Source organism: Homo sapiens, chromosome 6, assembly GCF_000001405.40.
Source record: "Homo sapiens chromosome 6, GRCh38.p14 Primary Assembly".
NCBI lineage: Eukaryota > Metazoa > Chordata > Mammalia > Primates > Hominidae > Homo > Homo sapiens.
Genome location: NC_000006.12, coordinates 80,572,516 through 80,594,245, shown reverse-complemented (window position 1 = coordinate 80,594,245; position 21,730 = coordinate 80,572,516). Strand labels below are relative to the sequence as shown.

Below are 21,730 nucleotides of genomic sequence, written 5' to 3'. Positions count from 1 at the left end.
AGAAGATAAATAAAAAGACCAGAAAAAAATAGATTGTAGAGTCTAAACATCACACACCGAAAAAAAAATCCCTTAGGAAGTAAACCTTCACTATTAAAAAAGACCAAGGACCAGTTTAGGCCACGGACAGGCAGCTCAGGTAAGAAAAACCACTTTTTCTCTCATCTTTCACCTATATCCATACATGTATAATAATATATTTGCATCTCAATTCCCCTAGTTTTTTCATTCTCTCTTCTTGGTAACAATATTTCTTCAATCCAATGCTTTTGTCTTTCTTTCTATTCTTCATTTCGAGTTCACTATTTTTGCATGACTTTATTGTTTCCCAGGCCTTCTGAAGTCATCCTCACTCCTTGTTTAGACCCTTCATCTTTGAGATGTCCATCAATCCTTGACCATGTTTGGAAATATGCTTTAAGATCAAACATGATTTAGTAACCACACACACTTTGACACCTGTGCATGGGATCAAATAAACTGGAGAGAGAACGATACAGATGTGTAGAAATCTGGGAGGAGGCACAACTCTTGGGAACATAAAATTTTTACATGTCAATCTGTTACTCATAGTGAGGTCTCAACAAAACCAGCAAAGTATTGTCAAATAATTTTACCTTATTTTCCTTGGAGATAACACTTTCTAAATTTTTCAGATGTGATATATTTAGGCTAATCATAATTTTTATCTGAATTCAATAAAAAAGAATGAATTAGTCAAATCAGCCATTATCATTTCTTTTTATCAAAGTAAAAGTAGTTTCCTGGATAAGAGAATAAGAGATAGAAACAAAGTACCAGCCAGTATTAGCCTGACAATAGTGTAGGATAAAAAAAATAGCTTTACTACAAATAATGATAATTAAAATTTTTCTTTAAATCAATTATTAGCACCTTTTTTTTCCTTTCAAAACAAATGGACTTCCTCAAAACTGACATTATAGATATCATACACTATCCATAGCAAAGATAACCAAGATGAGCAGTTGTACTTATATAAATTAATGGTGTACATCTGCGTGGGAGAAGATAAAAGGTGTTGTACTCTATTTCAATATGGTAGTTATAAGTGCAGAGATAAGAAGCACATTACTCTAAAGCCCAGAGGTAGCATTTCTGACAACTCAGATGCATCTCTTCGGGGCAGGTGGTTAAAAGATGAGGACAGCCCTTCTATTAGATCTGCCAAGCGTGCTGTTAATTTAAGAGTGCAATCCAAGGTCTATAATTGCTTCTGAAAAGAACAGGTAGCAACAAAGTATAGTACATTAACTGTCGACAAACATCTGCTCAAAGAAACAGTTAACACCACCAGGCCCATGAAACACAGAGTAGATGTTAACATCAGCCATGTTGCAGCACAATAAATGCTTTGCTGGGACATTAGACCAACTTAGGCTTGTCTGAAAGTTTGCATAGTTAAACTCTGCTGTTTTAGCATCTAAATTGACTGCTTCATAAAAGTGTTAAGCGTCAAAAGTTCACACAATTTGGATGTTTCAAAAAACTGAGGTCATTGAATATTTGCCATCAAATACCAGATATCACATAATGCAAAAGTAATCAAGTAACAGAAAGGGAAAAATAACTAAACAGACAAAACAGCCATCACATAATCTATCTCCTAATGCCCTGAAGTTATCTTATAGAGGAAACAACTCAGCATCTGCCTACTATTATTTAAACACCCTTTCAACAGATTTTTAGAATATGGCTTCAGAGTCCACATGTGAAATTGGAGTTACACTCAGAACAGAAAAAAAAAAGTCAGGTGACAGACGATGACCAGTCAGGAATAAAGGAATGAGAGAAAAGCCATAAAAAATAACACAAAGAATACAAGTATGAGAGATGGAGTCCACTCAGCTCAAGCAGCAAACTAAACTATTTCGTTAACCTTGACTTTCTTGTTCTTGTTGCAATTGTAACACACTGAATTACATCCACACTTGCATGTAGCTAGTAGCAATAGGATATTTTTAAGAGAGTAAGTTCAGAAAGGAAAAAGCTAGAAAAGCCAGGGACACTCTATGCTTGAGGATCTCAAGAAAAGAGGGAGAAATGGGATGCTACAGAAGATAAAAATTGTTCATGATTTTTAGGTTGAAGTTATTGAAGGCAACTGTCCATTTTACTTTTTATAGCTAGGACACTTTAATATTCAGATATAATAACAATCTTTGAAAGATCAATTTCTTCTCATCAAAAAAGTCTCAAGAAGATTCTGTCTCATGGTCAACTGAATTTCCTATTAGACTATTTTCACACATTCCTATACATCTGTGTGATTGAAGGTCTATAGAAAATATGCACATGAATTTGACAGATTAGAAATTGCCACATATTGACATGATGGTTAATTTATATATACTGCTTGAGTTTTTGTGCAATTATTTGTTGCTGTTCTTCTTTTAATATAATGATATAGGTTGAAAATTAATGTATATCCAACATTATTGTTATTAAGGGAAATGCAAATTGAAACCACAATAGCATACTACTTCATATCCTCCAGAATAACTATAATGATTACAAGATTTAAAAATGAAAAATAAATGTTGGTGAGATCATGAAGAAATTGGAACCCTCATACATTGCTAATGGGAATTTAAAATAGTGCAGCCACTATGGAATTTAGTAGTTCCTCCAAAAGTTAAAAACAAGGTTTCCATATGATCCAGCAATTCCACTCCTAAGTATATACCCAAGAGAACTGAAAACATGTTTACACAACCACTCATGCACTAATGTTTGTAGCAACATTTCTCATAATAGTAAAATGTGGCTGATATGGTTTGGCTCTGTGTCTCCACCCAAATCTCATCTCAAATTGTAATCCCCATGTGTCGAGGGAGAGGGACGGTGGGAGGTAATTGGATTATGGGGACAGATCCCCCATGCTGACCTTGTGGTAACGAGTGAGTTCTCATGAGATATGATGGTTTAAAAGTCTGTGGCTTCCTTCGCTCTTGCTCTCTCCTGCCACCATGTAAGATGGGCCTTGTTTCCCCTTTGCCTTCCACCATGATAAGTTCCCTGAGGCCTCCAGCCCTGTGGAACTGTGAGTAAATTAAACCTCTTCTCTTTATAAATTATCCATTTTCAAGTAGTTCTTTATAGCAGTGTGAAAACAGACTAATACAGTGGCAATAACCCAAATGTCCATCAACTGATGAATGAGAAAACAAAATGTGATACATAAAATGAAATATTATTCAGCCATAAAAAAAGAATGAAATATTGATACATGCTACAACATGGATAAACCTTAAAAATATTTTGCTAATTGAAAAAATCCAGACCAAAGGGCTGCCTATTACATGATATTTTTATTATCCCATTACCATATTTATATGAAATCTTCAAAGTAGGCACATGTATAGAGACAGAAAGTTGATTTGTGGTTGCCAGGAAATAGAGGATGGGAGAATTGGGTATAGAGTTTCTTTGGCGGGGGTGGTGATAGAACTATTCTGGAATTAGTGGTAATGATAGCATAACATTGTGAACATAAGAAAGCCATGAAATGTACACTTTAAAATGGTTAAAATGGTGACTTTTATGTCATGTGAATTTTATCTTTATAAAAAAGAAGAAACCAGTATATGTGCATTTTGTTTCCATGCTTTATTTTATAAGTCTCCTGTGTAATGAATGCCCCCACAGATAATTAATTGTGTTCAAAAAGTGAATAAATGTTGAACTGTTCGATCTGACCAAGAGGATTTCTTCTGAATATTTCAAAATGCTTCAATTCCCAAATGAATACATTCTATTTGACACAACCTTATAAAGTATTTAAAGGAATTTTAGACTAAGTTGAACATTTTACTTACATGATAATATTCTTCCCCCATTGGTTCTTAGATTCTTTTTAGCAGAGAGAAAACTTTTCCTCTAATATTACATACTGTCTCAGAAAACAGATTAGAAAGGTGAAAAGTTACAGCCTAATTTTATATCGATCTAATATATTTGGTCACTATTGTCCCTATAGTTGAGTATTTTCTAAGTAGGACCCTCCAGTTTCCTCCTTTATTTTATTTTTATAAAGGACTCTTTCATTAGATTTTTCTAAATCTTACTAAGATAAAGAATTCAACATTAAAAGATTATCTTATGGTCACTGTATATAGTATTTTAGTAAAACAATAATGGTGATTACTCAACAATTCAATAACAAAGGCCAAAACATCCCTCTGGTTTACTTTTAATAGTTATAGATTAATAGAATTATTCATTTCTTTCTAGTGAATAGAAATCCAGTGTTACAATTTTATTTACATGTCTGTAGCATTTCTTTGGTTTCTTCAGGATTATCGAGCTAAGTACAGCATTTTTTCCTCTCCTTTGAGCATCAGGCATCAGGCTAAAGAACCCCACCCCATCCCTTTTCTGGGCAAACTGATTCTCCCTTATTTCATGTGGTTCTGGTAGAACTGTCAATAATAATAAGCGAGTCCCCACTCTATCAGTTCCTGTGAGATCTGATTGTTTCAAGAGCCTGGTACCTCCCTTGCTACTGCTCTCACCATGTGACACACCTGCTCCCCCTTCGACTTCCATCATGATTGTAAGCTTCCTGAGGCCTCCCCAGAAGCAGATGTTGGTGTCATGCCTGTACAGCCAACAGAGAGGATGCTCACAGGGGCAGGAAGCAGCACCTAGAAATTTGTATCCCAATTTTCTGGGGTTGGAGTGCTTGCAGCTTTCCAGGTTTCATCTCTGCTAGGGTTGATTTTTCCAAGCTTCCTTTAATTCTCTGGGCATCCCATTATATCTCTAGTGTATACCTTTTCCATTGGCTTAAGTTGGAGTCAGCTTCCTTTGCTTTGAGCCAAGAAACTCACTTGATGTGGCAGGGCTCACATTTAGAACATTTTGAGACCAATATAACTTGTAAGAATAGCCTTGGACTTGGTCGGGGGATGGTATAAACTTCTTCCAATCTTGGTGTAACCCTGATTTTTTTTAATGCAGAATTAGACAATCAGAGCACCTCTCTGAGGCCAATATTTCAGAAGTATAAAATAAGAGGCTGAGCTCAGAGATGGTTTTTCTAACTCAAAAGTTCTATCGTTTTATGAATGAAAAGGAATTGAGTTGGAGACTAGGAGTGTAGTATTTAGCAAAGACTTGTTTTGCCAATATAATTATCAGAGCTCTTGAAGGAACTTTTGTGAAAGAATTGGTAGGCACTTTGATCCATGGCCACTGAGAGGACTTGGCTATTAGCTGACATGCTGAAAGCTGCTACCCAAAAGAGCTTTTATCCCCAGGACCAGCTGCCACAGTCCAAGTCCACATCTATGCTGGCTGAAGTGGCTTCCCAAAGGGACTCCTGCTTGGAACCTGTGCTGGGTCCTGCTAACAGCTGCTATTTCTAGAAAGGTGTCAGCCTATGGTGACCTTATGACTCTGTGGTATCCAGATTTTGTCACCTTAATGTGAATTACTCTTAAACTCTGTGGAAGAAAACACATCGTCAGCTCTGGCAAATATTTTTTGAGGAAAATAAACAGAAATTTCCTGTGAGTAAACTTCATGGGTTTCACTCCCAGGAGATATGAGCAGGGGAAAACAGATGAATTGGTGAAAATCTCTCTGGGATCCCATGATGCTGTGCCCAGGTGTCACTGAGCTCTCTTCACAATGGGGGATCACTGGACAACCATGGCACAGTACTGCCAGAAAAACCAGGGGTGGTAGAAGCTGTCATATTTCCTAAAGAAGGGCCTGGGGAAAAAAAAGTAGGAGTTTCCCCTGCTTGTTCCAACAAATGGTATTAATTCCAGGGAACTCTTTTAACTTCTAGACAATATGTAACAGAATGAAAATAAATGGAGAAATGATTCAAGGCAACATCTTATGTTCTGCTGCTGACCTTGTGGTTGAAGAAACTCTGCAGGATGAAAAGATGTTCTTGAAATTAAAAGTTCCCAAGATAATTGGTACCTCCAGAAAATAGAAACCCAAGGTCAGGATGTAGCTGAATTTTGGAAATTTCACCCGTGTATTCCTTTCTGTCATTGATAAATTACATCAAAATTAGCTACTCCTCAAAGCCCCAACTAGGTACCACTAATGAACAGAAGTGTCATTTACAAGCCAAATATAATATGAAAGCATTTGTTCTCAGAGTAAATTGTGACATGTTACATGTGGGATTAAAATAGCCCTACTTGAAGCTGGCCAAAGACTATTGTATCAGGTGGAGAAGACCTAAACTGCACACAAATAGGCAAGAAACAGTTAAACAGCAACCTATAAAAAAGGATAAAGTGGACAGATCTTTATCTCCTCTTTATTCCAAACAACTGAAAATGGGTAGGAAAGAATTAAAGAAATGGGTATTTCTAAATGTAACTTACAAATCAGTGCTTAAGGGGGGAAAGCTTCTAGATGATACTCATCTTTGATGTAATTATTTTACCATCTAAATTCAAGTTATAGGAGCTCTTCCAAATTAAGGAAGGGCAAGAAAGTTTTTTTATATAAGCAATAGCTAGAATGCATTCTGACTGAAGCATAGCATATTTTTCCATTTTTATACTACTAGGAAGAAATACCTGAGACTGGGTAATTTATACAGAAAAAGAGGATTAATGGACTCACACTTTCACATGGCTGGGGAGCCCTCACAATCATGGCAGAAGGTGAAGGAGGAGCAAAGGCACATTTTACATGGTGGCAGGCAAAAGAGCACGAGCAAGGGAACTGCCCTTTATAAAACTGTCAGATCTCATGAGACATATTCACTATCACAAGAACAGCATGGCGAAAACTCACTCCATGATTCAATTACCTTCCACCAGAACTCACCTACGACACAAGGGGATTATGGGAGCCACAATTCAAGATGAGATTTGGGTAGGGACACAGCCAAACCATATCATTATGCCCCTGGCCCCTCCCAAATCTCATGTCCTCACCTTTCGAAACCAAGCATGCCTTCTCAACAGTCCCCCAAAGTCTTAATTCATTCCCACATTAACTCAGAAGTCCATAGTTCAAAGTCTCATCTGAGACAAAGCAAGTCCCTTCCACCTAATAGCCTGTAAAATCAAAAGCAAGTTAGTTACTTCCTTCATACAATGGGATTACAGGCATTGGAAAAATACACCTATTCCAAATGGGAGAAATCAGCTAAAATGAGGGAGCTACAGGCCCCATGCAAGTCTGAAATCCAGTGAGGCAGTCAAAACTTAAAGCTCCAATATAATCTCCTTTGGCTCCATGTCTCACATCCAGGTCACACTGATGCAAGAAGTGGGCTCCAATGGCCTTGGGCACCTCTACCTCTATGGCTTTGCAGAGTACAGACCCCCTCCCAGCTGCTTTCACAGCCTAGCATTGAGTGTCTGAGCTTTTCCTGGCCCACAGTGCAAACCGTCAGTGGATCTACCATTCTGGGGTCTGGAGGACAGTGGCCTTCTTCTCACAGCTCCTCTAGGCAGTGCCCAAGGACTCTGTGTGGAGGCTTCAACCCCACATTTCCCTTCCACACTGCCCTAGCAGAGTTTCTCTATGAGGGCCCTGCCCCTGCAACAAACTTCTGCCTGGACATCAGGCATTTCCCTGCATCCTCTGAAATCTAGGTGGAAGTTCTCAAACCTCAATTCTTAACTTCTATGCATCCTCAGATTCAACATCACAACAAAGCTGCCAAGACTTGGGGCTTTCACCCTCTGATGCCACAGCCCAAGCTGTACCTTAGCCCCTTTTAGCCATGGCTGAAGCAGCTGGGATGCAGGGCACCAAGTCCCTAAGCTGCACACAGTAGGGGGGCCCTGAGCCCAGCCCACATAACCATTTTTTCCTCCTAGGCCTCCAGGTCTGTGATGGCTGCTGTGAAGATCTCTGACATGCCCTGGAGACATTTTCCCCATTGTTTTAGTGATTAACATTTGGCTCCTTGTTACTTATACAAATTTCAGCAGTTGGCTTGAATTTCTCTCCAGAAAATGGGTTTTCCTGTTTTAATGCATCATCAGGCTGCAATGTTTTGCAGTGAGCTGAGATCGTGCCATTGCACTCCAGCCTGGGCAACAAGAGCAAAACTCTGTCTCAAAAAAAAAAAAAAAAAAAATTCAAACTTTTATGCTCTGCCTCCTCTTGAATACTATGCTATTTAGAAATTTCTTCTGCCAGATACCCTAAATAATCTCTCTCAATTTCAAAGTGCCACAGATCTCTAGGGAAGAGACAAAATGCCTCCAGTCTCTTTGCATAGCAAGAGTGACCTTTACTCCATTTCCCAACAAGTTACTCATCTCCATCTCAGACCACCTTGGCCTGGACTTTATTGTCCATATCACATCAGCATTTTGGTCAAAGCAATTCAATAGGTCTCTAGGAAGTTCCAAACTTTCCCACATTTTTATATGTTTTTCTGAGCCCTCTAAACTCTTTCAACCTCTGCCTGTTACCCAGTTCCAAAGTGGCTTCCATATTTTGGGGCATCTTTAGAGCAGCACCCCATTATTCTGGTACCAATTTACTCTATTAGTCCATTTTCATACTGCTATGAAGAAATACTTGAGACTGGGTAATTTACACAGAAAAAGAGGTTTAAAGGATTCACATTCCACATGGCTGGGGAGGCCTCACAGTCATGGCAGAAGGCAAAGGAGAAGGAAAGGCATGTCTTACATGGCAGCAGGCAAGAGAGCATGTGCAGGGAACTGCCCTTTATAAAACCAACCACTATCACAAGAACAGCACAGGAAAATCCCACCCCCATGATTCAACTATCACCCAGTGAGTCCCTCTCAGGACACATGAGAATTATGGGAGCTACAATTCAAGATGAGATTTGGGTGGGGACACAGCCAAACCATATCACATGGTAAACCTCCTGCATTGAATAGACTTGAATAGTATCTCATAGAAACTGACATAACCAAAGTATAATTTCAAGAACTGTGTACCACATAAACTAGTTCATTCAGACACTTAGAGGTCTTTCATAAACAGCCCTTCCATAATCCAATAATTTGGAGACGTTCATTTCATGGAGCATTCATATCACTAGCATTGTAAAGGCTTTGGGAAGCCCTATATTCAAGTAGCCTGTTTACCTTTCTATAATCTGGTGTTCTTAAAAAATTATTTGACCATGGAACTACTTTTTCATATAAAAAGTATTAATACCTTTTGCAATAGTGCTCCAAGTAATATAATTTTAAAATCATGTACCTAGAGAAATTAATGTTTACCTAAATTCTAAATATTTAACAGCTACAGACATGGAGATACCTTTTTCAATTTGCATGTGATACAAAGTACAAGAAAATTATAAGTTCATTCTGAGTTTTAGTGAATTAGTTTGAAATGTGGTATCATTTAAGAACAAAGTTCTAATTCTGTTTTAGCCACTCATTGGCTTTGAAATTGGAAAAGTTAATCTTGATGTATCTCACCCTGTAAGACTGAGAAAATTATTAAGTAAGATTTGTGTCTTAACCATTTTACACTCTATCTAACACATAGTAAGTACTCAACATAGTAACTGTTACAATAAGAAAACCAGTAGGTAACAAAGAATTGGGTCTACAGGCAAAGAAAATGACCTAGATTGAATGAGGACAGACTTTCCCTTAAAAATTCCACTTCAAACTGTGGTACATACATGCCATGGAATACTATGCATCCATAAAAAAACACAATCATGTTCTTTGCAGCAACATGGATGTAGCTGGAAACCATTATCCTAAGTGAATTCATGCTGAAAGCAGAAAACCAAATATTACATGTTCTCACTTGTAAGTGGGAGCTAAACACTGGGTACACATGGATACAAAGATAGGAAAAATAAACACTGAAGATTCCTAAAGAGGAGGGAAAAGGGAGCAGGGAAATGGGTTGGAAAACCACCTATCAGGTACTACATTAATTACTCAGGCAACAGGATCTTTTAGAAGCCCAAACCTCAGCATCATGCAATTTATCCATGTAATAAACCTACATACAAATCCCTTGAATCTAAAAAAAAACTTAAAAAAAAAATTCATTTCACCAGTGCCCTTATAATGAAGAATTGGTGTTTAACAACAGACCAATAGGCAAGCATACCTAAGTATTATTTATATATGTTCATTCATTTATGCAACACTCCATTCAGCACAGTTTTTGAAGTTACTATGTATTCCTGTGTGTTAAAAAGGCCAAGTTGTCTCTTGACTTCTGTCTTTGTCACTTCCCTTTGTTCCCGTGTTCCCTCACTTCCTTCAGAATATTTATCTGTGAGGAATCTCACCTATGAGCGCTTTTATGATCACCTTGTATAAAATAGCAACAGTCCTCACACACCCACCCACCCAAAGCAGCATTCTCTGCTATTTTTCTTCACAAGCACCTAACATCACCTGACATACTGTGTATTTACTTATCTGTTTATTGTCTGTTTCACCTACAGAATACAAGGTCTATGAAATCTTACCTGTTTTGTTCATTCCTGTGTCTTCATTTCCTTGAACAGTTCCTGAATTAATTCATTATTTATTATATTATTACTTTTATATATATATTATTTTATATATATTTTACATATATTACTGCAATAGCTATTTTTATTAATAGAACATTTTTGTTTCTACATTAATCAAGTGTAGACTTTAATTTTTGCTTTAATTGTAGCAATGAACATATATCCAGTGATATTCAGAGAAATTCTAGTGTTGGATCAGTTTCTGCTCTTAATTTTTTTAAATATTTATTCAGCACACATTATGTATATGTGAGATACAGCAAAACACCCATTTCTAGTATATGAAAATTTATGTTTATCCACATAACTGTGCAATTAAGAATTGTTATTGTTATTTATGACACAGTTTAGAAATGAATAGAGAACAGAGGCAAGGGTATATGTAGCTCTTATGATATTAAAAGATATTAGAAGTGTCCTGCTGTGGCGGGAAGGGGGACATTTATGTATAACAGGAAATTAAAACACAATTATTGTAATTGATATAATTCTTTTTTTTAACTTTTTTATTTCTTTGAGAGATGGGTTTTTGCCATGTTGGCCAGGCTGGTCTCAAAATCCTGGCCTCAAGTGATTCGCCCACCTTGGCTTCACAAAGTGCTAGGATTACAGGCATCAGCCACTGTGCCTGGCCTGTAATTGATATGAATCCTTAGTTACCCATTCAATAGCCTAAACCTGCTCTTAGTTCAGGGAGTCTAGGAATAATAGAAATTTTTTTCCAGCCATTTTTGTAGCTCAGGGGGCCATGAGACATGATTCTGGAAATTACTATGTAGAAAATATCTGATTGCTTCTGGAAAATATTCCAGCCTTAAAAAAAGAGATATACACGTTGAGTGATCCCATTTAACCCCTGCTCTTTCTTTTTTCTCTAGATGCCATCACACTGGGACTAATGTCAGGAGCTGCAGCAGTCCTCTGTGACTGCACTTGAGCCAAAGGACAAGGCCAGCATCCTGACAGAGGCTGAAAATGTCTGGATTCTTCGCTGGCATCACCAAGCTAATTAAGTATTCCCATACAGCCTACTTCTGGGCTTCCTATTCATCAACTTGAACATCCTAATGGTTTAAGACATCCTTAGTTTTCTGTTACCTGTAGTCAAAGCAGTCTTTTTTATTTATTGAGCATCTGTTTTCTGCATGGATCTCAAACACAAATCACTTTCCCGCTAAAGAAAATGAATTATAAACCCTACCTTCACATAGTGAACCAGAGAAAGTAGACAGCAGAAAATATGTTGACATAGATACATAGATAAAAAATTGTTCAGAGAGCTACCGGGTCAATTAAACACACTAAAATGATTTATCAGGTTGAGCAGTCAGGATTTCTGCAGAGTATATAAGGGTGAAGCAAAGTGATTGTATAAATTAATTGATAAAGACTATAATTTGATCAAGTGCATTAAAAAATTAGAATAAAGACCTGAAACTGAAAAGAGACAATTCCAAGATTTCTATGGGATTGCCAGGAAAAAAAAAAAGGAAGAACAGTGATAACACAAAAAATGAGAGTCCCAACTGATCAGAAAAGCCTCCTTCTTGGCCCCTCTAGTCTTATCTCCAGTACCTAGCAATATCATTAGTCCATGAAGAAGTATCTATTTTTTTAATTGTGTGTTTAAATTAATTTATAATGAAACTAACATAGGTATTAGTCTTTTTTAAGATTTAGGCATATTAAATAAATCACTTCATTAATCCCAAATTCAAAGACCGCTGTTTATGGTTTCACACTGGTATCTTGATGGATTGAATTCTACCTAAAAAAATTTCCCTAATTTTGTTGCATATAGTAAATATCTCCTCCCTCCCCAAATTCTATACCTAGATAAAGCTATTTCTCTTATATATGTCCATTCACAATATCTCTACCTGGAGCAAGAAGTAGAGTTTGGGTCTTATGATAACTAGCTGGGCACTTCATGAAACGTCTGTGAAATGAGGTATGAGCTCTCAGCCCATAAAACAATCATTCCCATTCTTTACCACTAGATTCAGAAAACATGGACTCATTTTTGAAACATTTCATGAGGTAGAGGAAGAACTCCTAACATGTGATATAGTATATCTAGCTCCTTGATGTGCTGAAGCCAAGATAGATTTCAGAGTTTGTTAAACAAAAGTATAATAGCTGTACTGAGGTATCACCCTGTGTCCCAAACATTCTCTCACTTTCTTTCTCACTGTATCTCAGAGCTTGAATTTTCACATGGCAAAATCAAGCTCAGAGAATTATTGTATGCACAGTGGAGAACACTGGAGAAAGGGATGACTTCTTGTCTAAGAAGTTGTATTATTGCTGTTTTCCTCACTACGTCAAGACTATTCAATATCTTTTCCTGGGCATAAAGGGATCATTTACAACACATATCAGCCTGGACCACTAGTAGAAAAGAGAGAATAATGACAAAATTTCATTATTTCAGAGGTCTCAATGATTTTTTTCATGCCAAATGCAAAATATCTCAAGTTCCAAGCATTTTGCATGATGTTTCTATTATTATATGCCCAATTTTAAAATGTAATTTAGAAATCTGAAGCTGAAGCTAAACTAAGGTCTTTTGTTCTCAATCTTTTGTGTCCACAGTAATTCTTGTTATTCAAGTCAAATTTTCCATGACGTGGTGAATTTTTCTACTGCTAAAGGGAACTTTATTTTTCCTATCTCTAGGATCTCTTGGACTACAATTAAGGCATTAAAAAAATAAAATATCAGTACTTTTACTAGAAAATCTGCTCAAATCTGAGTTCTGGATATGTAAATTCAAAAGTATGACATTCAATGACAAACCATTGTCCATGAAGCCTAAGAATATCGATAATAAATAGAATGTATTGTAAACTGACTGTGTGCCAGGCACTTGCCAAGTCATTTCACTTAGCAATGTAAATTTACACTTATACAAGGCCTTTATTTCCAAGTGTTTCTACTAATACTCCATTATATTTAAATGTGATGACTCAAAGGCAAGTATCATCTCTCTTTCTTTTATGTATGAAAAAGCTGTGACAAAGTCCATGCCTCTGTTTATGCAAAAATGAAAGCAACAGCTTAATGATGGAAGGAAGTCAGGATGCAGAACAAAGTCTGATATCATTATACGCTTCTAATTTTTGCTCAATATTTTCTCTGAAATTACAATACATTATATATACTGTGTATTAGCATTCTCAAAATGAATTTTCATACAGTATCACATTTGAACTTCACAATCACCCTTTAACGGGTGTGTGTGCATATGTTTTTCAAATGGGACAATAATATTTCGGTCATTGTCCAAAAGTAAAAATAATCCAATTTTTAAGACAAAAGCAGATACTAAAAGATGTCAAAGTGACTTACCCAAATTCACATAGCTTCACTTCTGGACTTCCGGTAGGTACCATGCTCTTCTCACCACAGCAAACCACAACAGAAATTTGACTTTTCCCTTTTCTATAAAAACGTTAAAATATATTGCTCTCATTTCTTAAAATCACCAAGGAATTTTTACTAGACATCAATATATTTCTACTTCTCTCTCTTTATAAGTTAAAACACCATGAGACTGGCTTTCTAATCAGCATACCAGCTACCAATTCTAAAACTGTCCTTCAAAGCAGTCACCTTGAAAATCTTTAGTACCATTACAAGCATAACTGACTGATCAAAACATGTTTAAAATGTTTTAGGAGTTACTTTGAAAATCAGGTTACAAGCCACAAAATAATATCACTTTCTTTACTTAATAGTTACACCTCATTTTTTAAAAAAATTAATAACGGTTTAATCACTCACTTTCTTTACCAGATGAGCCTCTGATTTCTTTGGACCTTTCCCAAATACAATATTTTTGCTCAAAGCATGAAAAATTTTTACTGTGAAATACAATTTTCAAAGTTTGCATGGTCTTGTGGGACAATTCCACAAGAGAAATTCCAAGAATGAGTTGTCCAAAGGCGGCATCCCTGAAATGAGTATGAAGCCTGCCAAGCTGATGACTTTGATGGAACTAACTTTTCCTTAGTGTGTAAGTTTTTAAGTTTTATTTCAAAATAAGTTTTATTAAAAAATAATTTTGTCACACCTCATGTATTATATGACTTTTTATGCACACAGTGCCTAAGGGGGGATTTTACATAGATTTTGTCTAAAAAGAGGAAGCTATCCACATGGCTGCCAAAATTAAGTCCTCTGGAGGGTGATTTTCTGAACTAGCAATGATTCAATTGCCAAATAACTTCTGTTTCTTACAATTTAGCAAGTTTCAATTCAATCTACCAATATTCTCATTATGCCACTTTTAAGAGAGGAGATTGTTTTAACCCCAGTGGAGCATTTCAGTAAATTGCCCACTATAGAAATGCTAAGGATATGTTACAACACCTCTTTTCTTCCGCAGAAATAATACCTTTCTGACATTTTGACAAATTAATGAAGCATTTCTCGCCCATCTGAAAAAATCAGTTGGCATTCCTTCATCAAGCAAGTAAGCTTCCAAGTGTTTCTTCATTTGACCCTCAAAACACCTTTTAACACTTTTCTTATGAGTGATGTCAACTGGCATGCAAGTCACTTGGTACATTCCCAGACCTTTTAAAAATAATTCCATCACATTGGCTAATCCTAGGGGGTCTCTCCAGAACTAAGTGCACTTGTAAAACTATTCATAAAAAGGTCTCCTATTTCTGTCTCTACTTCCTTTAACACCCTAGTTATATTTTACTTGGACCAAGAAACACATCAAATTGCAACGCTTAGAATATTGGTCCATTTTTTAACTGCTTCAAGGAGCCTGTTCCCTGAACCTTCATCCTTCTTACTAATAAATTTGATTAAGGTAAATCCTCTTTTGTGAAACCAGAAACCAATTTTTTCTGCTATTCTCCCAATGCTTGCATTTGACTTCAGTCTCCATTAATTAGCCACTTGGATCTTTAAAAGTCCTCACCTCTTTCCTTGTCTATGTATATACTCTTTAAAAGCCTGTCAGCAGTCAGTTGAAATGTTTAGTCTTGCTTGAAATTAATTTTCCACTTTTATTGTTCCAATTATTTGGCAGGTTATATGGCTTTATAATAATTCCCTGGAGCCCTTTGAACCTGTTATGTCTTTTATGTTTGTGCTAGATGTGTTTCCTTAGCAACACATTGATTCTGCTGACTGTCTGTTACATGAGATGTAGGTAGTGAACATGTCCAAGCTGTGAATATGAAGACAATTGTCATAGATTGTGATATTTTGAATCTCCAAAATAGTTTGTAAATTGTGGTAGCAATCAGAAGAAGATATTTTTTAATTCCACCTTTTATTTCTTCAACCAGTTCGCTTTCTCTGTATCTTGATTCAGTTCTACTTCCTTTGCTAAAACAAGTTTGCAAGACTTGGTTAATTAATAAGATCATGGAAATATTGCAATAGGAAGATTTTATCAATTTCAGAAAAATAACAGTTTCTATAAATCCCACTACTTTGGTCCACATGCTTTTTAAACTGGTGAATTAATAACACTAAAACCTCATGATATTATAATTTGACTGCAGAAATATATCTATCCATTCAGTCATTCAACAAATATTAATGTAGCAGTGCTGTATATAGATTTGTGAAATTACAGCGTATACATTACTGCAAATTTTGCATGGTTTCTTATCAGCCTTTAGACTATACTAGTATGTGTGGCTCCTATAGAAGGGAGTCTCTACCTAAACTAACTGCAATTATGTTTAGTAGTTCTCTAGAACAAAAGCAGTTAACCAACAAATGGCATTCCCTTCTTTTCCAATCTCTTTGATGATTCAGAGAATGACTGTCATTTACATTCACACCCAAATTCCAGTTCAAGTTTTTTTATTTTATTTCAAGTAATTATGTGTTTTTGAGAGAAAGAATGTGATATGGTAGGAAGATCACAGACTCAACAATAAACAACAAACAGATCTGAGTTCAAATCTCAGCTCTGCCCTTTCCTGTGTGACCTTGAGCAGGTACACAATCTCATTAAGGCCCAGTTTCCTTATGTGCAATATAGTAAACATTTTAATTAATATGCTTAAGGTGCCCATGTTGGAGTTAGAATTTTGTCTTCACAAAAACAGTGTTTATATTAATTGTTTAGATGTCATACATTAATTCCTTCTTATCCATCTGAGCTGAAGGCAAAAATAGAGATTGGTTTATCTAGGAAAGACCTGTAGAACTAATACAGATTTTGGTAATTGGTAGTAGGATGCTGCTGTATCAAACATCTAAAAATCTCATCCATGGGATTTAGATCTTAAAAATTCTAATAGTTAATAGAATTGCTATTGAAGAGCTTAAAAGTTTCTAACAAAGAAAAGGATTCAGTTGTGTCAGTTTTTCCTCAAGTATTTTGAAGCTGAGATGTTAGTTGTATAAACATTTAGAACTGTTTATGTCCTCATAGTAGATTGATCCCATTATTAATATGTAATATCTTTATTCCTGGTAATATTCTTTGTTCTAAAGTCCAGTTTGACACTAATATAGCATCTTCTGGCTACTTTTGACTAGTGTTTGCTTAATATTGTGTTTTCCATTCTTTTACTTTAACTCACCTGTGACTTTATATTCAAAGTGGATCTCTTATAAACAGGACAAAGATGGGTCTTGCTTTTTATTTAGTCTAACAATTTGCATTTTATGTGTAATATAATTGCCTATTTATGTATTTATCAACATATAATTATTAATATGGTATGGTTGAAAATCTATCATCTTTCTAATAGTGCTCAATGCTCCATCTGTTCTTTGCACCTTGTTCCTCTTCTCCTGGCTAGTTTTGGATTAAGTATTTTTGTATCCCATTTTATCTTCACTATTGTCTTATTTGCCATACCTCTTTGTTTTACCTTTTTAGTGATTGCTCAGGGTTTACAACATACATCTTTAACGTATCTCATGCTAACTTCAAGTGATATGTCATTACATAAGCTATAAAAAAGTTTACAACAGCACACCTCCATTTCCCTCTCCTATCCTTTATACTATTATTGTCATGCATTTTACTTCTACACATGTTATAAACCCCACAATCAATTCTAATTATTTTGGCCTTAAGCAATGAAGTATCTTTTAAAGATGTTTTTTAATTCTTTTAGTCAAAAGAATGAAGAGTGCCAGAAATGATAAAAGATTGGTAAAGATAAGAAGGGTCTAAATTTTACCTGATATCACTTCCCTTCTGCCTGAAGAACTCTCTTATTTTAATGCAGTTCTGAAAGCAATGAATTCTCTTGGCATCTTTTGGCAGAAATTTTTCTTAATTTTTGGAATATAATTTCACTGGATAGAGAAGTCTAAAGAATTAGACTCTAGTTAAAAATTCTCATTTATTTCAAATGTGGATTAAAATAATCTACCTTGATGAGAAAACCTTTTAACTAAAAAAAAATTCCAGGTCAAGTTTTCTGGATAATTTTCAAACTAAGAATTGATTTCCAATTTTTTCCCATTCTCAAAAAAAAAACAAATATATATATATATTTGGCTATTTAGTCACTTTCGGAATCCATGTGGATTTTGTTTTATCAAATACTTTAACAAGAAGGCAGATTATTTTTCTTTTTTCTTTTTCTTTTTTTAGACAGAGTCTCGCTCTGTTACCCAGGCTGGAGTGCAGTGGCACAATCTCAGCTCACCTCACCACGACTTCCGCCTCACAGGTTCAAGCAATTCTCTTGCCTCAGCCTCCCAAGTAGCTCCCAAGTAGCTGGGATTATAGGCACCTGCCACCACACCCAGCTAAATTTTTTTGTATTTTTAGTACAGACAGGGTTTCACCATGTTGGTCAGGCTGGTCTCGAACTCCTGACCTCAGGTAATCCACCCACCTCAGCCTCTGAAAGTGCTGGCATTATGAGCATGAACCACTGCGCCTAGCCCAGATTATTTTTCTAATAAAGGAATCTAAGCATTACTTATGGAAACATGCTTGGCTGGATTTCACAATTGCTTAGAACCAGTGACTTTTTTCCCTTCTTATCTTCTACTCTCCTTTGAACCAGAATGCCTATAACTATTATATTCTGAAGATATTCCAAGGGAAATGACATTAATGCAGAATTGCTCTGCCTATCAGCACAGTCAAAAGTATGCTATTCTAATTATGCTATTAAATGAAATAAACACAGAAACCCCAGTCTTTTCAACTATAAAGTGGAGTTAATAAAACAACATGTAAAATTGTCTATCACAATGTTTGTCATATGGCAGCCTCTCAGTAAAAGTTATTTGAAAAAGTGCCAAATGAGGAAGGCATTAATTTACTATACTTTGAAGTTTTCATTGTTATTAGCTTAAAATAGAATACATCGAAAATGAAAAACCCAAATTTTTATTGGAAATGTTAACTTTATCTGAATTATTACTCTGAAATAGAAAGAAAAGATAAATACTCTGTTATAGAACTAAATGACACCTGGTTTTGGAATAAAGAGGTTAACAAATGTGCATGTCATATTATTTGTTCTCTATTCTAACTAAGCATCGCTTAGGAGCTATGCAAACTATCAAGAAGAAAGTATAATATTGTGAGTTCAACAGATAGATACCCAAAAGAACTAGCTGCCTACTTCTTGTTTTTGTTTTTGTTTCTTTTTACTCTTTTTGAAACAGCTGTATTGAGATATAATTTATATATAATAAAATTCACCTATTTAAAGTATGCAATTAAATCATTTTTAGTATATCTACAGAGTTGTATAACCATTACCACGATTTAATTTTAGAACATTTTCATCACTCCAAAAGGAAACCTTTCAACCATTAGTGGTAATTCTCCATTCCTCCCCTTCCAAAGCCCTAAGTAACCAATAATCTCTGTCTCCATGGATTTGCTATTCCAAACATTTTATATCAATGAAATTACATAACATGTAGCTTTTTGTAACTGGATTTTTCCTTAATTCTCAAGTCACCAGCTCAAACTTATTTCCTAAAATGGAAGTTGATGGGGATGCATCATGAATATAGAGTTAAAATTATAACATTTTAGACATTTCTCCAAATAAGATATTAAAATGGCCAATATGCACTTGAAAACTGTTCAACATCATTAGCCATCAGGGAAATGAAAACAAAAACCATGACAAGATAGCAGTTTATCCCCATTAGAATGGCTATAATTAAAAAAAGACAGAGACTAACAAGTGTTGATGAGAATATGGAGAAACTGAAACCCTCATAGATTGCTGGTGAGAATGTAAAATGGTAGAGCCACTTTGGAAACCAATCTGTAAGTTCCTTAGATGGTTAAATATTCAGTTACCATGCCATTCCATTTCTAGGTATATTCCATTCCTGGGTACTTAAACCCAAGAGAAATGGAAGCATACACCAAAAAATGGTTCATAAATATTCATAACAGCATTATTTATAATAACCAAAAAGTGTAAAAAACTCAAATGTCCATCAACTGATGGATAGGTAAAAAAAAAAAAAATGTGGTATATTCATGCCATGGAATATTATTGGGCAATAAAATGAAATGAAGTACTGATACATGCTATCACATGGATGAACCTTGGACACATTATGCTAAAGGAAAGTGGCCAGTTACAAATGACCATATTGTATGATCCCATTTATATGAAATGTTCAGAACAGGCAAGTCTATAGAGACAGAAAATAGATAGCAGTTGCCTAGGGTCAGGATTTGACCTAAAGGAGATGACAGTTAAGAGGTGTGGGAGCATGAAGTTCCTTTTGGAGTAATGAAAATCTTCTAAAATTGTGATGATGAATGTGCAACTCTGAGAATATACTAAAAGCCATTAAATCATACACTTTAAAAGGGTGAATTGGGGAGGAGCCAAGATGGCCGAATAGGAACAGCTCCAGTCTACAGCTCCCAGCGTGAGCGACACAGAAGACAGGTGATTTCTGCATTTCCATCTGAGGTACCGGGTTCATCTCACTAGGGAGTGCCAGACAGTGGGCACAGGTCAGTGGGTGTGTGCACCGTGTGCGAGCCGAAGCAGGGCGACGCATTGCCTCACTTGGGAAGCACAAGGGGTCAGGGAGTTCCCTTTCCCAGTCAAAGAAAGGGGTGACGGACAGCGCCTGGAAAATCAGGTCACTCCCACCCGAATACTGCGCTTTTCCTACGGGCTTAAAAAACAGCGCACCACAAGATTATGTCCCGCACCTGGCTCGGAGGGTCCTACGCCCACGGAGTCTTGCTGACTGCTAGCACAGCAGTCTGAGATCAAACTGCAAGGCGGCAGCGAGGCTGGGGGAGGGGCGCCCGCCATTGCCCAGGATTGATTAGGTAAACAAAGCAGCGGGGAAGCTCAAACTGGTGGAGCCCACCACAGCTCAAGGAGGCCTGCCTGCCTCTGTAGGCTCCACCTCTGGGGGCAGGGAACAGACAAACAAAAAGACAGCAGTAACTTCTGCAGACTTAAATGTCCCTGTCTGACAGCTTTGAAGAGAGCAGTGGTTCTCCCAGCACGCAGCTGGAGATCTGAGAACAGGCAGACTGCCTCCTCAAGTGGGTCCCTGACCCCTGACCACCGAGCAGCCTAACTGGGAGGCACCCCCCAGCAGGGGCACACCGACACCTCACACGGCAGGGTATTCCAACAGACCTGCAGCTGAGGGTCCTCTCTGTTGGAAGGAAAACTAACAAACAGAAAGGACATCCACACCAAAAACCCATCTGTACATCACCATCATCAAAGACCAAAAGTAGATAAAACCACAAAGATGGGGAAAAAACAGAACAGAAAAACTGGAAACTCTAAAAAGCAGAGCACCTCTCCTCCTCCAAAGGAACACAGTTCCTCACCATTAACGGAACAAAGCTGGATGGAGAATGACATTGACGAGCTGAGAGAAGAAGGCTTCAGACGATCAAATTACTCTGAGCTACGGGAGGACATTCAAACCAAAGGCAAAGAAGTTGAAAACTTTAAAAAAAATTTAGAAGAATGTATAACTAGAATAACCAATACAGAGAAATGCTTAAAGGAGCTGATGGAGTTGAAAACCAAGGCTTGAGAACTACGTGAAGAATGCAGAAGCCTCAGGAGCCAATGCGATCAACTGGAAGAAAGGGTATCAGCAATGGAAGATGAAATGAATGAAATGAAGCTAGAAGGGAAGTTCAGAGAAAAAAGAATAAAAAGAAATGAGCAAAGCCTCCAAGAAATATGGGACTATGTGAAAAGACCAAATCTACGTCTGATTTGTGTACCTGAAAGTGATGGGGAGAATGGAACCAAGTTGGAA

The 21,730-nt window shown here is 36.6% G+C and overlaps 1 long non-coding RNA gene across 1 annotated transcript in view, besides 2 other annotated features; it reads right to left on the bottom strand.

The window, feature by feature from the left end:
• Positions 1–21,730, bottom strand: part of LOC112267962 (uncharacterized) — a 162,505-nt gene that overhangs the window by 53,235 nt on the left and 87,540 nt on the right. The window contains exon 2 of the long non-coding RNA XR_002956360.2: positions 13,841–13,933. This is a non-coding gene — a long non-coding RNA (uncharacterized LOC112267962). The remainder of the gene's footprint in view (positions 1–13,840; positions 13,934–21,730) is intronic.
• Positions 20,052–20,622: an enhancer, noted in NCBI's record as "NANOG-H3K27ac-H3K4me1 hESC enhancer chr6:81283341-81283911 (GRCh37/hg19 assembly coordinates)". NCBI's record gives its function as "activates a minimal SCP1, AML or CMV promoter by ChIP-STARR-seq in primed H9 embryonic stem cells {active_cell/tissue: H9 hESC(primed)}" and the evidence as "EXISTENCE:reporter gene assay evidence [ECO:0000049][PMID:30033119]".
• Positions 20,623–21,193: an enhancer, noted in NCBI's record as "OCT4-NANOG-H3K27ac-H3K4me1 hESC enhancer chr6:81282770-81283340 (GRCh37/hg19 assembly coordinates)". NCBI's record gives its function as "activates a minimal SCP1, AML or CMV promoter by ChIP-STARR-seq in naive H9 embryonic stem cells {active_cell/tissue: H9 hESC(naive)}" and the evidence as "EXISTENCE:reporter gene assay evidence [ECO:0000049][PMID:30033119]".